The sequence below is a fragment of the Homo sapiens genome, chromosome 17, assembly GCF_000001405.40.
Source record: "Homo sapiens chromosome 17, GRCh38.p14 Primary Assembly".
NCBI classification, from domain to species: domain Eukaryota; kingdom Metazoa; phylum Chordata; class Mammalia; order Primates; family Hominidae; genus Homo; species Homo sapiens.
The window spans coordinates 15,636,804-15,650,769 of NC_000017.11; the positions used below are offsets into that span (position 1 = coordinate 15,636,804).

At 49.5% G+C, this 13,966-nt stretch overlaps 1 protein-coding gene across 8 annotated transcripts in view, besides 4 other annotated features; it reads right to left on the reverse strand.

The window, feature by feature from the left end:
- The window catches only part of TRIM16 (tripartite motif containing 16), a 56,346-nt gene that overhangs the window by 8,838 nt on the left and 33,542 nt on the right, over positions 1 to 13,966 (reverse strand). For all 8 annotated transcript variants that reach the window (NM_001348121.1, NM_001348122.1, NM_001348120.1 and 5 more), the window contains one exon: positions 5,918 to 6,013. In NM_001348121.1, the coding sequence (NP_001335050.1) occupies positions 5,918 to 6,013 (96 nt within the window). The remainder of the gene's footprint in view (positions 1 to 5,917; positions 6,014 to 13,966) is intronic.
- Positions 5,527 to 6,113: an enhancer, noted in NCBI's record as "H3K27ac-H3K4me1 hESC enhancer chr17:15545644-15546230 (GRCh37/hg19 assembly coordinates)". NCBI's record gives its function as "activates a minimal SCP1, AML or CMV promoter by ChIP-STARR-seq in naive H9 embryonic stem cells {active_cell/tissue: H9 hESC(naive)}" and the evidence as "EXISTENCE:reporter gene assay evidence [ECO:0000049][PMID:30033119]".
- Positions 6,114 to 6,700: an enhancer, noted in NCBI's record as "H3K27ac-H3K4me1 hESC enhancer chr17:15546231-15546817 (GRCh37/hg19 assembly coordinates)". NCBI's record gives its function as "activates a minimal SCP1, AML or CMV promoter by ChIP-STARR-seq in naive H9 embryonic stem cells {active_cell/tissue: H9 hESC(naive)}" and the evidence as "EXISTENCE:reporter gene assay evidence [ECO:0000049][PMID:30033119]".
- Positions 7,545 to 8,360: an enhancer, noted in NCBI's record as "H3K27ac hESC enhancer chr17:15547662-15548477 (GRCh37/hg19 assembly coordinates)". NCBI's record gives its function as "activates a minimal SCP1, AML or CMV promoter by ChIP-STARR-seq in primed H9 embryonic stem cells {active_cell/tissue: H9 hESC(primed)}" and the evidence as "EXISTENCE:reporter gene assay evidence [ECO:0000049][PMID:30033119]".
- Positions 9,175 to 9,264: an enhancer, noted in NCBI's record as "active region_11743". NCBI's record gives its function as "activates an Ori minimal core promoter by ATAC-STARR-seq in GM12878 lymphoblastoid cells {active_cell/tissue: GM12878}" and the evidence as "EXISTENCE:reporter gene assay evidence [ECO:0000049][PMID:35858748]".

A 13,966-nucleotide genomic window follows, 5' to 3' on the forward strand; every position in this document is an offset into this window, starting at 1 on the left:
CAAGCAATTCCAGGACAAGCATGTATATGCAGAACAGAATGTGACATTCAAATAAAATATAAAAGAAAACCCATGTGAGAAACATTAAGGGTTTGAATGATGGGGCACATGCATGTGGACTCTTTTGCATGGTAAGCATCCTCTATGAATGCCTTCAATCAATATCATGTTTACAACATCTTTCCAAGTTCTGAAGGTTTCCTCTTCTCTGGTATTCTTAAGAATTGGTAGGAGCCTCTCCGCCCGGTAGCCACCCCATCTGGGAAGTGAGGAGCGTCTCCGCCCGGCAGCCACCCCGTCCGGGAGGGAGGTGGGGGGGGGGGGTCAGCCCCCCGCCCGGCCAGCCGCCCCATCCGGGAGGGAGGTGGGGGGGTCAGCCCCCCGCCTGGCCAGCCGTGCCGTCCGGGAGGGAGGTGGGGGGGTCAGCCCCCCGCCCGGCCAGCCGCCCCGTCCGGGAGGTGAGGGGCGCCTCTGCCCGGCCGCCCCTACTGGGAAGTGAGGAGCCCCTCAGCCCGGCCAGCCACCCCGTCCGGGAGGGAGATGGGGGGGTCAGCCCCCCTACCCGGCCAGCCGCCCCGTCCGGGAGGGAGGTGGGGGGGTCAGCCCTCCGCCCGGCCAGCCGCCCCATCTGGGAGGTGAGGGGCGCCTCTGCCCGGCCGCCCCTACTGGGAAGTGAGGAGCCCCTCTGCCCGGCCAGCCGCCCCGTCCGGGAGGGAGGTGGGGGGGTCAGCCCCCCGCCCGGCCAGCCGCCCCGTCCGGGAGGGAGGTGGGGGGGTCAGCCCCCCGCCCGGCCAGCCGCCCCGTCCGGGAGGGAGGTGGGGGGGGGTCAGCCCCCCCGCCCGGCCAGCCGCCCCGTCCGGGAGGTGAGGGGCGCCTCTGCCCGGCCGCCCCTACTGGGAAGTGAGGAGCCCCTCTGCCCGGCCACCACCCCGTCTGGGAGGTGTGCCCAACAGCTCATTGAGAACGGGCCAGGATGACAATGGCGGCTTTGTGGAATAGAAAGGCGGGAAAGGTGGGGAAAAGATTGAGAAATCGGATGGTTGCCGTGTCTGTGTAGAAAGAAGTAGACATGGGAGACTTTTCATTTTGTTCTGCACTAAGAAAAATTCCTCTGCTTTGGGATCCTGTTGATCTGTGACCTTACCCCCAACCCTGTGCTCTCTGAAACATGTGCTGTGTCCACTCAGAGTTAAATGGATTAAGGGCGGTGCAAGATGTGCTTTGTTAAACAGATGCTTGAAGGCAGCATGCTCGTTAAGAGTCATCACCACTCCCTAATCTCAAGTAATCAGGGACACAAACACTGCGGAAGGCCGCAGGGTCCTCTGCCTAGGAAAACCAGAGACCTTTGTTCACTTGTTTATCTGCTGACCTTCCCTCCACTATTGTCCCATGACCCTGCCAAATCCCCCTCTGTGAGAAACACCCAAGAATTATCAATAAAAAAATAAATTTAAAAAAAAAAAAAAAAAAGAATTGGTGTAGACAGCCGGGTGCGGTGGCTCATGCCTGTAATCTCAGCACTTTGGGAGGCTGAGGTGGGCAGATCATGAGGTCAGGAGATCGAGACCATCCTGGCTAACATGGTGAAACCCTGTCTCTACTAAAAATACAAAAATTAGCCGGGTGTGGTGGCGGGCGCCTGTAGTCCCAGCTACTCAGAGGCTGAGGCGGGAGAATGGCATGAACCTAGGAAGCGGAGCTTGCAGTGAGCTGAGATTGCGCCACTGCACTCCAGCCCTATCCCATCTGAGACTTTCTGAGCACCCCTCCAGGTGCTGTTTTCTCTCACTCCTCCCAATGTTAAGGGCCAGCTCTGAACATCAGGGCTCCAAAGTGAGTCAAATAGCAGATATCCTTGGGCAGAGGCTTCAGGGGCACCTCCCATCCCTGGCAAGGAAGGAGAGAGGGAGAGAGGGAGGGAGAATGAGACCCAGATCAAAAAGGGGAGCACAGTAAGGAAAGGACTCAGAAAGGATGGGATTCTGGGCCCAGGCTTAGTGGGAACCTAGAGGTTTGGAGGGAGATGGGAAGAAAAAATGATGACACCAGATAGGTCTTCTGCCTGGCTCAGGCCCTGGCTTAGGCCAGGGCTCAGCAATTCACTCCACGAGAATGGTCTCTGATCAGTCTTCAATCTGGTGGCAAAGGGAAGAATAAGCAGGGGAAAGAAAGCAAGGGGTATCCCTACTGGAGGGGGATGGTGGGAAGACACAGACAATCTCCCTACATTCTCTCTCTCTTTTTTTTTTTTTTTTTTTTTTTTTTTAGACAAGGTCTCCTCTGTTGCCAGGTTGGAGTGGCACAGTCTTGGCTCACTGCAGCTTTGACATCCCAGGCTCAAACGATCTTCCACCTCAGCCTCCGAAGTAGCAGAAACCACAGGTGCATGCCTTCATGCCCAACTAATTTTTATATTTTTTGTAGAGATAGGAGCTTACTACGTTGCCCAGGCTGGTCTCAAACTCCTGGCCTCAAGCAATCTGCCGTCCTTGGCCTCCCAAAGTGCTGGGATTACAGGTGTTATTACAGGTGGGATTACGTCCAGCCTACATTCTCATTTTTATGCCAACTTTTCCGTTGCCTGTTGGCTTCCTTGAGGTTAGGTAGCTGGACAGAGCTGGGAGCAAAGAAGCTGTGGTAACAGGATTAAGGAAGAGCGGGGATGGTAGACTTTATCCAAATTCTTCCAGCCCACACCAAGAAAAGCTTTTAGACAGGTGACGGTGTTGAGAAGCCAGGGCAGCAGGAGAGGCGATTTGGGAAACCTGAGGCTATCTGGTTTTGTGGCTCCCTCCGGAGCCCTGTTGTCCAGAGCTGGCCCTCACCCTTGGGAGGAGGAATAGTAGCACCTTAACCAGCTGCTCAGAAAGACTGCAGGTGGGGACAATAGTAGAGAAGGAGGCAGGCAGAGAATGGGCTCTGGACTGTGGATGGGAGGCTCAGAGCACTGTCTGAAATGAAGACCTGAGAACCAGGAAAGCTACCTGGGCCCCACCCAGGCCCCCCAAGTGGCAAACCTGCTGCCTGGGGCTCTGCCAGGTATAGGCTCTGCAGCCCTCTGACACTTCACCTCTCTCCCTCTTCCCACTCTCCTGAGAATGAGGACCCTCTGCTGCTAGCCTGGTCACTCTTCCAATTATATAACAATAATCATAAAAACAACCAACATGTAGTAAGTTCTTACTATGTGCCAGGCACTTTTCTCCTAGCAACCCTAAAAGGTAGGTACTATTAGGGTCTCCATTTCTTAGATAAGGAAACTAAGACAGTGATAAATGGACTGATTTGCCCAAGATCACACAGCCAAGGTTTGAACCAAGACTGTCTGTCTCTGGAGTCCATCCCTTTGACCACCATTCCACACTGCCTCAAAATAGGGCCCAGGGTTGGGGATCCATGTGCCTGCAGTATAGCACTGAGCTGGCACAGCCTGACCTCTCCCTCTGGGCCCTGGCACATTCACTAGGATGAGCTGGGGAGGTACAATGGGAGTTCAGCTGAGCTTTCAGCCCATGGGCTGTGGCTGTGTGGGGGTTGCAGGGAAGGACCTTTAAGTTCAGCCCATTAAACAGAAGCCCTCCCAAGACCAGATGAGAGACAGGGCTTAGCCCCTTGTTCACTGTGGGCACCAGTTAGGGTAACATCCTATGCCCATAATGGACTATAAATACACAGGCTGCTGCTGAGCAGGCGACCAAGAGGGAAAGAGGCCAAGACTCCCAGCAATTCCTGAACCAACTGTTTACAGGTGTTGCCTCCTTGACATTGCAAACACTGTAAATTCTGATATATTAATCATTACTAGATTTAAATCTAAAAGCCAAATTACATTTCCATATGGCAAAGAAGTAATGATGAAGAAATCTACCTCAGAAGACAGGAGAGTTTTGCTTATAACCATTTGGGAGCGGGGGCAAATGGTGGTGATGGTGTTTGATCCAGGCTCTGCATTAGCTAACGTGTCCTAGTTCCCCGGCTTACTCACCCTTCATGCCCACTCAGGCTCCAGGTAGCCAGGCTCTAGGAGTCACAGAGGCCACAGAGTGCTCCCTGCCTGTACTGCCCGCTCCCGATGACCTCCAGAAAGCAGGAGCAGGACACAGCATGGGAACCAGCATGAGGGTGTTGTGGGAAAGGAGCAGAATCCTGTCTACAATTATGACCTGTAAGTTCCTCATAGAAGCACGATACCATGAGGCTAAGAGGATGAGACTAAAGACAAACTCAGGATCCAAATCCTCACCCCCGGCCCCAACTGAGGCCATCCTGAGAAAGGATAGTGGAAGGGAGGTGTCAGATGATATTGGTGGATTGAGGTTGACTTCTGCTGTGGCCTGGCCCTCATTCCTAAACCCTCCCATTGAGAAACACTTCTTTCTTGCATGTAAATGTAATGTGCAAAGGGCATTACTTACCATGAAAATGATGACAAGCAGAAACAGTACAGAGAGGAGAGGCCTCAATACATTCAAGGAGCCAGCAGGTAATGGTTTAAAGATTTGAGGATGGTGTACATGCCTATCAATATACTGAGTCATTCTTAAGTCAAGGGAGCAACAACTCTAGGTTCTCACATTCCATCAATCTAGATGGCCCTAGACAAGTATTGTCATCTCTCCATGTCTTCATGCCCCTTGTGCATGGTAGCTATTGTAATAACTACCTCCCCTGGTCATCATGTACTTATGAGAACTGAGGAGGGATCAAAGTGTCTGAAAATTAAAGAGCTGGGAAACACAAGACCCTCCATGTGGTTCTACAGGTTATCTTGAGCCTGGAAATCCATTATCTCTGAAGGTTTATAAGGCTTTAAAGGGATAATTCTCTTTCTTCCTTTAATAAGATATTGTGGGTAAGAAAGAGGTGTTTCATCCTTCAGTAGCTAGTTGGTTGTAAACACCCAGGAGGTGAAAATTAAGTTGAAATGAATACATGCATTAGGGGTAGATGAATGGATGGATGGATGATGGATGGAATCATTTATTCTCAGGATATAAAGATGACAATGCTGATTCACTTCCATAGGGTAGGTGTTTTGCATTCTCTCTTTTTTTGAAACAGAGTCTTACTCTGTTACCCAGGCTGGAGTACAATGGTGCAAACTCAGCTCACTGCAGCCTCCACCTCCTGAGTTCAAGCAATTCTCCTGCCTCAGCCTCCTGAGTAACTGGGACTACAGGTGTGCACCACCATGCCTGGCTAATTTTTGTATTTTTTAGTAGAGTCAGGGTTTCACCGTGTTGGCCAGACTGGTCTCGAACTCCTGACCTCAAGTGATCCACCCACTTCAGCCTCTCAAAGTGTTGGGATTACAGGTGTGAGCCACTGTGCCCGGCCTGTTTTGCATTCTCTTCTGAGTGGTGGTTACTGGCTTGCCACTGATGAGAGGCATTTGTAGAACTCCTCAGAATCCACTTGGAGACCATTTACTGCCTACTTAGCCTGGCACACCATGGCCTTCTCAAATACCATCAGTAATCCTGAGTTCTCAACTCCTTTTTTCCAGCTGCCAGGTCATAGGACTGGTGAGACTCACATGCAGAACACCCTCATATAATGGAAGAAGCCAAGATAACGTATAGTTTTTGGACCTCTGACTAAACTCCCAGCCCCCCACACACATACACCCTGTCAAGACAGCATAAGCAAATGTAGAAATAAGAATGTTGTTATTACAGGATTAGTCTTGGTTCTAATTTATATTATTAAAAAGCAAATCACTTGCCAGGTTTAAAACTTAAACTAATTTCATAACAAATCCTGACATCAAGGTGAGGCTACCGCATGGTGTAGTCAACTGTACCTACAATTCTCATTTGTGGAGAAACCCCAAGGAACCTACAGGAATGGAGGCTAGGCATGCAGTACCACGTCCCACACCCTCACAGGCCTGGCTGACCCAGGCTGGTCTTACCAGAACAGACTTTTGGTTAGCCTGGAGCCTGGAGATGGCATTTTCATTCAACTTGAGTTTCCGCTCCAAGTCTAACTGGGTGCACTGGAGTTCAGCCTAAAAGTGGAAAGCAGAGAATTAAGGAGGAAGGAGCCCAATGCACACAGAAGGACACGGGCACTCTCCAGCCCTGACATCCCCGCCCTTCTTCCCTGGAAAGAAGTTTAACTTCTGTGGCTGATCTCAGAAACCAGCCGGGAGGCACGAAGGGTTGGCGGTGAGCCCGTGCCCTCCTGGGGCTGCAGTCAGCATGAGTCAGCGAAAATACAGTGAGCACGGATGCCGTGCTGCTCACCATTTCAAGCATTTTGTGGATTACCCCACACCATCCTTGCCATACCCATACTAGCTGTAAACCAGAAATAAAATCCTAAACCCCCAACAATCTGAATGGATCCCTCCTCTCAGCAAAGGGCATTCCAAAGTTAACCTGAAAAACCAGTTCAGGCCATGATGGGAAGGGAGGTCAGACATGGCTCATTATAACTTCCTCCCTTTTGGAATTACTGATACAGCAGACTCTTTCAGTCTGATTAGAAACATTTACAATCTGTTCTCTCCAAAACCTCCTCCCTGGAGGCTTTACCCACATGATAAAACCTTGGTTTCCACCACCTCTTATCTTAACCCAGACATTCCTAAGTCTTTAGACAATAACTTGACTCTTTCAACCAACTGCCAATCAGAAAATCTTTGAATCTACCTATGACCCGGAAGCCCTGGTTTCCAGTTGTCCCACCTTTCCAGACCAAACCAAATTACATCTTACATGTATTTGATTGATGTCTCATGTCTCCCTAAAATGTATACTAGGCTGTACCCCAACCACCTTGGGCACATGTTCTCAGGGTCTCCTGAGAGCTGTGTCACAGACCATTGGTCACTCATATTTGGCTCAGGATGAATATCTTCAAATATGTTACAGAGTTTGACTCCTTTTGTCAACATAGGTAAACATGATTATTATTTCAAAGGTACAGGTGATAAAATCATGTTTCCAAGTTCATCAATGGAGTTGAGCCTAGGCTGACCCCACAAGAGCCAAACAGGGAGTGTAGGGTTGGAGCCAGATGGCCAAGTGGGAAGTCTACATTTTTTTACTTAGCAGTTGAGACTTTGGCCAAATTTACTTATGAATAGGAAAAACAAACTTTCTTTGTCTTATAGTCACACAACACAGAACACTTTCATAACTAAAACGTGTGGGTTTTTTTCCACATGAAGCCATTCTCCAACAACAGCTGGGTGTCCTAAGATGTAACTCAATTCTGACACTCCCTACTTGGAGATGGAAGAGATGCACGGGGCAAGGGATGTGGGAGGGAAGTGACACCTCCGTGCCCTCTCCAGTGCAGGGTGCACACCCTCCATGGACTTCCACCCCTTCAGCAATCCAGAAGCTCCCGGAAGCCCAGCCCTTTGGGTTTGTGTCTTTGTTTATTTTGAGATGGAGTCTCGCTCTGTCTCCCAGGCTGGAGTGCAGTGGCGCGATCTCGACTCACTGCAACCTCTGTCTCCTGGGTTCAAGCAATTCTCCTGCTTCAGCCTCCCGAGGAGCTGGGACTACAGGTATGTGCCACCACACCTGGCTAATTTTTTTGTATTTTTAGTAGAGACAGGGTTTCACCATGTTGGTCAGGCTGGTCTTGAACTCCTGACCTCAAATGATCTGCCTCCACCTCGGCCTCCCAAAATGCTGGGATTATAGGTGTGAACCACCGCGCCTGATGCCTTTTGGGTTTATATGGAGGCTTCATGATGTAGGCATGATTGATTACATCACTGGCCATTGGTGATCCTCTCAACCTTCAGCCTCACTTCCCTCCCTGGAGGAGATCAGGGAGATGGGGCTGAAAGTCAAACCCTTTCATCATAGGGTTGGCTCCTTTGGCAACTAGCCCCCATCCTGAGGCTCTCGGGAGCCCCCTCAGCCACCCAGTCATCTCACTGGCATTCAGACACTTACCACTTCAGAGAGTCTGGGGGTTCTAAGAGCTGTCGGGTGCCAGGAAATGGGGGCAGAGACCAAACCTAAGTTTTTGTTGTTGTTGTTGTTGTTCTTTGTTTGTTTTTTGAGATGGAGTCTCACACTGTCGTCCAGGCTGGAGTGCAATGGTGCAATCTTGGCTCACTACAACCTCCACCTCCCGGGTTCATGCGATTCTCCTGCCTCAGCCTCCTGAGTAGCTGGGATTACAGATACACACCGCCACACCCGGTTAATTTTTGTATTTTTAGTAGAGACAGGGTTTCACTATGTTGGCCAGACTGGTCTGGAACTCCTGACCTTGTGATCCGCCTGCCTTGGCCTCCCAAACTGTTGGGATTACAGGCATGAGCCACCGTGCCTGGCCTGTTTCTTATTTCACAACTTAATATCTCTAAACTTCCATTTCTTCACCTGTGAGATGGGGCTCAGTAAAGTGTTTGCTTCATAGGATTAGGAAAGAATGGACTAACGAGATAACGTATGTCAATAAGAACTTTGTATAGTACCAGGGACATTATTAATGAGCTCCATAAATGTCAGTGGGTGCCAGCATCGTCATCATCATCATTATTACTCCTGCTACCATGGCTGCTTTCCATTCATGTTCTGTATTCGAAGGCAGAGCCAGCCCTCCCAGCCCAGGCAAGTGCCTGCCCAAAAACCTCAGGTTTGCCTGCTTTGGCCCCAGCTTCAATCTTGCCTCCTGGGATGCACTAAACACCTTCTGCCAAGAGGTGTGCCAAGGCGCACTTAAGCCTTTGCAAACCTCAAAGACCCTGTCACTTTCCTACTTCCACAAGGGCAATATACAAAAAGAAAAAGAAAAAAAAAAAAGAATCGCTTTCACTGCTTAATAGCTTCTGTCTGCATTTAAAGCTGCGAGTCATTATGCCCTAATAGAACTCAGAGAGCATAAACTGTCTCTCCATTCTCCACTGAAGACTGGGGGAATTCCAGGCCCCCTGGGGAGGGAAGCAGCTGCAGGCAGAGGACTCGCCTCTCCAGGACACTGCAGAAGGCAGGAAATGTTTGCTCAGGCTCCAGGTCACTGAGAGTGGAGCTGAGGGGGCCCCAGTGACCTCTCACCCTTGATACCTGAGACGTGATGCCTGGGAGTGGGGAGTGGGGGTGGATCTGGCCTATTTGGGGGCAATCCTGGAATCTTGAACTATGAAAAAGGCTTACACAGTGACCCATTCCAGGGGAGAGAAAAGGAACATGAGCTGCTTGTTTAAAGGTGGTGGAAGACACATCAGAACACACCCTAGCAACAGGCTCCTACAACACGGCATCTAAACAGCAGGGACAGAAGAATGTGTTGAAGCAGTCGGCAGCAGCGGGGCCATAGGGAGGTACCCAGGGAGCATCGAGAGTGAGGGGCTTCTCTCTGCTATTTGCAGACTACCATAAAAGGAGAGAAAAGGACTCCTTAAGTACATAATCGGGGACTTTCCTGACTGAGTCACCCCAAGAAAAGGCACTCCCAGTTACCTCAAAAGGTGGAACCACTTTGAAAGACTTGTTTCTCCAGTTATTCCTGTTCCTTGAAAATGATGGGGTGCCTCAGACACTGGCTTCAGGGTTTCCCAAGAGGTCAGCCACACACACATCTCAGGTCAGGGTGGGCCCTGCCCAGAAGCGGGACTGTGGTGCCCATGAGCACAGAAAGTTCTGGAAGGCAGGGCACACAGAGCTCTGCCTGCTTCAGCAAGACAATGACAGATGTGTCAAAGGCACACTATTTGGAGTCCGAAATATTTTGGGACCTGCCACTTGCTGGCCATATAGGCTTTGTCAAGTCATTCAAGCCATTTAGCTTCTCATCTGGTGCAAGACTACCTAAATATGCTAACAGAAGGGTTCCTTCTGCTACAGGGCAAAGGTGGCACACAAAGAGTGGCAGCCAGGTCATGTTAGAGATGAAAAATAGAAAGAACAGGGAGAGTGGGAAGAGAGAAGAAAATCCCAGACTGTGCCAGTTCCTTTGTATTCCAAGCACACAGGGTTAGCCTTTCTAGAGAAGGAAGAACTAGAGTCCACCTGGACGCTGACTGCATGCCTCGGTCAGCTGCTCAGAATTCACCATAGTACATATGGCCAGCTCAGTCACATAGGACACACACTGCCCCCTCTCAAAATACTTACAGCCTGGGAGAATAAGAAAAACAAGTTACGTAATACTGAGTCCTGGGCATTCCCCAAAATGGCTGAAATAAATTCTTTTTTTTTTTTTTTGAGATGGAGTCTTGCTCTGTCACCCAGGCTGGAGTGCAATGGCGCGATCTCGGTTCACTGCAACCTCCACCTCCCAGGTTCAAGCGATTCTCCTGCCTCAGCCTCCTGAGTAGTTGGGATTATAGGCGCCTGCTACTGTGCCAGGCTAATTTTTGTATTTTTTTTTTTTAGTAGAGACAAGGTTTCACCATGGGTCAGGCTGGTCTCAAACTCCTGACCTCAGGTGATCCACCCGCCTCGGCCTGCCAAAGTGCTGGGATTACAGGCGTGAGCCACCGCGCCCGGCCCAAGTAATTCCTTTCCCAAGTGGCCACATACACCTATCATCCACCTTTCGGCTGCCAGCAAACAGGCTGTGAGTGATGCCAGTTAACCGCTCCCCAGATGAGCGTGGATACTTTTGGCTCTAGATACTTGGCTCTTGCTCACCATGGAGACTGTGTCTGCAGCCAGCATCCAGTCCTGAACTTTCTGGGACTGATGCTGAGGTTCAGCATCGTGGCCTGGCATTAATGTTCTCCAAAGATCTAGGACAAGGCTCAGCTCAGGTCTTCCTGCCTTAGGAACCTGCACTGACCTCGCTCCCAGGGTTGGTTCCAAAGGTGCAGTAATTGCACCGTGCCAGCCTCTTGGCACTCTGTGGAGTTAGGGTATGTGCCTTGGCTTCCTGATTAGAGTCCAAGCTCCTGGAGGCTAGACAGTGCAGCCCAGCACTTAGCGATAGGAAGCACTCAGTAACATTTGATACGCTTGAGGAACATGAAAGAACCATACCTGCTTCATGGGTCAGAACAAACAGGAAAGGCAGTCATAGAAGGAGTCCAGATTTCATACACACACACACACACACACACACACACACACACAGTCTCATTTCTACATAGCAAGCCTGAGATTCAGAGAAGGTGAGAAGACTTGGCAGCCAGCAGGCAAGATCAGCTGCTCTTAAAACCAAAGGGGGCCGGGCGTGGTGGCTCACGCCTGTAATCCCAGCACTTTGGGAGGCCGAGGCAGGGGGATCACCAGGTCAGGAGATCGAGACCATCCTGGCTAACACGGTGAAACCCCATCTCTATTAAATATACAAAAAAATTAGCCGGGCGTGGTGGCGAGCACCTGTAGTCCCAGCTACTCGGGAGGCTGAGGCAGGAGAATGGCATGAACCCGGGAGGCAGAGCTTGCAGTGAGCCGAGATTGCACCGCTGCACTCCAGCCTGGGTGACAGAGCGAGACTCCGTCTCAAAAAAAAAAAAAAACAAAAAACAAACAAACAAACAAACAAAAAAACACAAAGGGGCCTGGAGATGCTGGTCTGGGGTAAAGGGAAGTGCTGAGGTCCCCATGAAAAATAGCTGGGCTCTGGAAGCTCAGCAGGAGAGAAAAGATAATCAAAGAACACCCACCTCTCAAAGCACACAGTGTCTGCCCACTGATATGGCTAGAAACCATAGGAGCTTCAAAAAGGGTTCACTTGGTTAACTGAGAAATTAGTCATTCTGTGGATCCTAAGCAGGATCTCAGCCACTTTGTGTCTTCATGGCTGACCCTGCTGTTTGCAGTTTCCTATACACAGCATGCCTGTCCGAGTAATTAGCCCTTCGCATGACCCAAAGTGACCTTCAGCGAGTAACTCTAGCAGGCCTGGGCTAGCTGAAGGGACTACTGGGCTTCCGGAGCCTTAGTTATGTCTGATGACTTTCAAAATCATCCTGGTGGAGGCTTTAGCCTCGTCAAGGTACTGTGTCTTCTAGGCTGGTCTCCTGGGCTCCCTGCAAGAAACCTTTTGGCTTCTAAGATTTGGACAAGCCACCTAGAGTGTGGCTACACTTACAGAGTAAACTTGCTCTCCGAGCTGAAAACAAGGACACAGGACAAGGACACAGAAAGGACAAGAGCTCTTTTAAGCAGACCAGAAAGCAGAGGGGTCTGGGGAATGGGGTTTTAGCACTGTACCTAAAGCCATGTTGCTTTTCAGCCCCAAACTGCCCTCAAGCCCATTCCTCAGTTGTCCTCATTTTACCTTATACACTTCTCTCCTAGGATGTCTGAATTCAGAGTTCTGCGCGTGCTCTACACAACTCCTCCTGCTTGGAATTGCAATTACCCCACATCTCTCTAATACATTAGGTGCCCTGTTTTTAAAATTTATATTGTATCTCTGTTGGTACAGGCATAGAACATTTCTGCAAGGAAATAAGAAAGTGTAGACAGTATTAGCCTTCGAGGAGAAAACGGAGGTTTGGTGATCTGGGATGGACTGGAGACCCTCCTTTCCTAGTAAAATTGATTGCACTGTTTGATGGAGATTATTATTATTATTTGAGATGGAGTCTCGCTCTGTCACCAGGCTGGAGTGAAGTGGCACGATCTCGGCTCACTGCAACCTCCGCCTCCCAGGTTCAAGTGATTCTCCTACTGCAGCCTCCCTAGCAGCTGGGACTACAGTCGCCCGCCACCACACCCAGCTAATTTTTTGTATTTTTAGTAGAGACAGAGTTTCACCGTGTTAGCCAGGATGGTCTCGATCTCCTGCCCTCATGATCTGCCTGCCTCGGCCTCCCAAAGTGCTGGGATTACAGGTGTCAGTCACCGTGCCCGGCTGGTGGAGATTATTTTTTAACATCTTCATGCATCACTTTTCCAGTTAAAAATAATAAAATTCTTGTATATGTGTGGCAGGTTTTGGTGCAAAAAAAGAGGATAATATTGTGATTTTTGTGTCCTTTCTTCATGTCCCTCCAGTAGGATGGCTTTCCAGAGGCTTCCATTCCTCACTCCGTGACTTAATCGACTATGAGCTTGGACAAGTGTGGTGGAGATAATGAGGATATGAGATAACTTCATAGTTATTTGAAGATTGGGTGAGAAAATCCACAAAAAGCATTCAGCACATGGCAATACTCAGTGAAGGCTATTTTCCTCAACTACAGGAGCTTTTTCCTTTGATCTATTTCTTGATCTACCTGTCCTCCTGATGGGACACTCCCTACCCTGGGAACACTGGAAACAGTTTGGCAAGTGGCTTCCCGGGCCGGAAACAGTGACTCATTGGCATCTGGAATACAGAGGTTTCCAGAACAATCCCACTAGCACCAGCTAAAATCTATGTCTAGGGATTGGCAGAGAGGAGGGGCCCTGGCAAGTAGACCCCCTTTCCTAGAAACCTCTTTCCTTTGATGCCAGGGAACATTTGCCAAGAAATGGCCATAGGTCTGCCACCTGCACTCAGTGTCAACAGGGAACTTCCTTGATGATTAATGTAGGAAATGTGGGGCAAACGTCAACTACACTTCCCGACTGAAAACTAAAAGTGTTCGCTGAAAGTCAAAGTAGAAGGAAAAAAGCATATGAGGTGCCAAACCAATTTCCAGGAACTTCTCCAGGATCTAGCTTTAGGCAAAGAAAAACGACTTGTTCTAGAAACAGTTTCCTTATCCGATGGAAATAAAATGACAGGCTATGAGCATGATGTTTCTTAGTCTCTCCTGATACCTCCATCTGGTGAGGAACTTTTATTATCCCTAAGCCACCTGTGACATTATACCTGGACCTAAGTTTCAAATTCTCTGCTATCTTAGCACTTTTCAAGCTCTTAGATTTCCTGTTATCTCCAGAGGGGCCCATTCTACTGGTCTCTTGTTTGAGAAAAAGAGAAACTGGGAGAAAGAGTTGTTCTTTTCTCTTGAATTTCTGCCAAGGTTTTATTTCATTAATTGACAATGGATGTGCCATGCAGATCCAGCCACAGGGACATATCACCGCCCTAAGCCCCCACAACTTCTGCA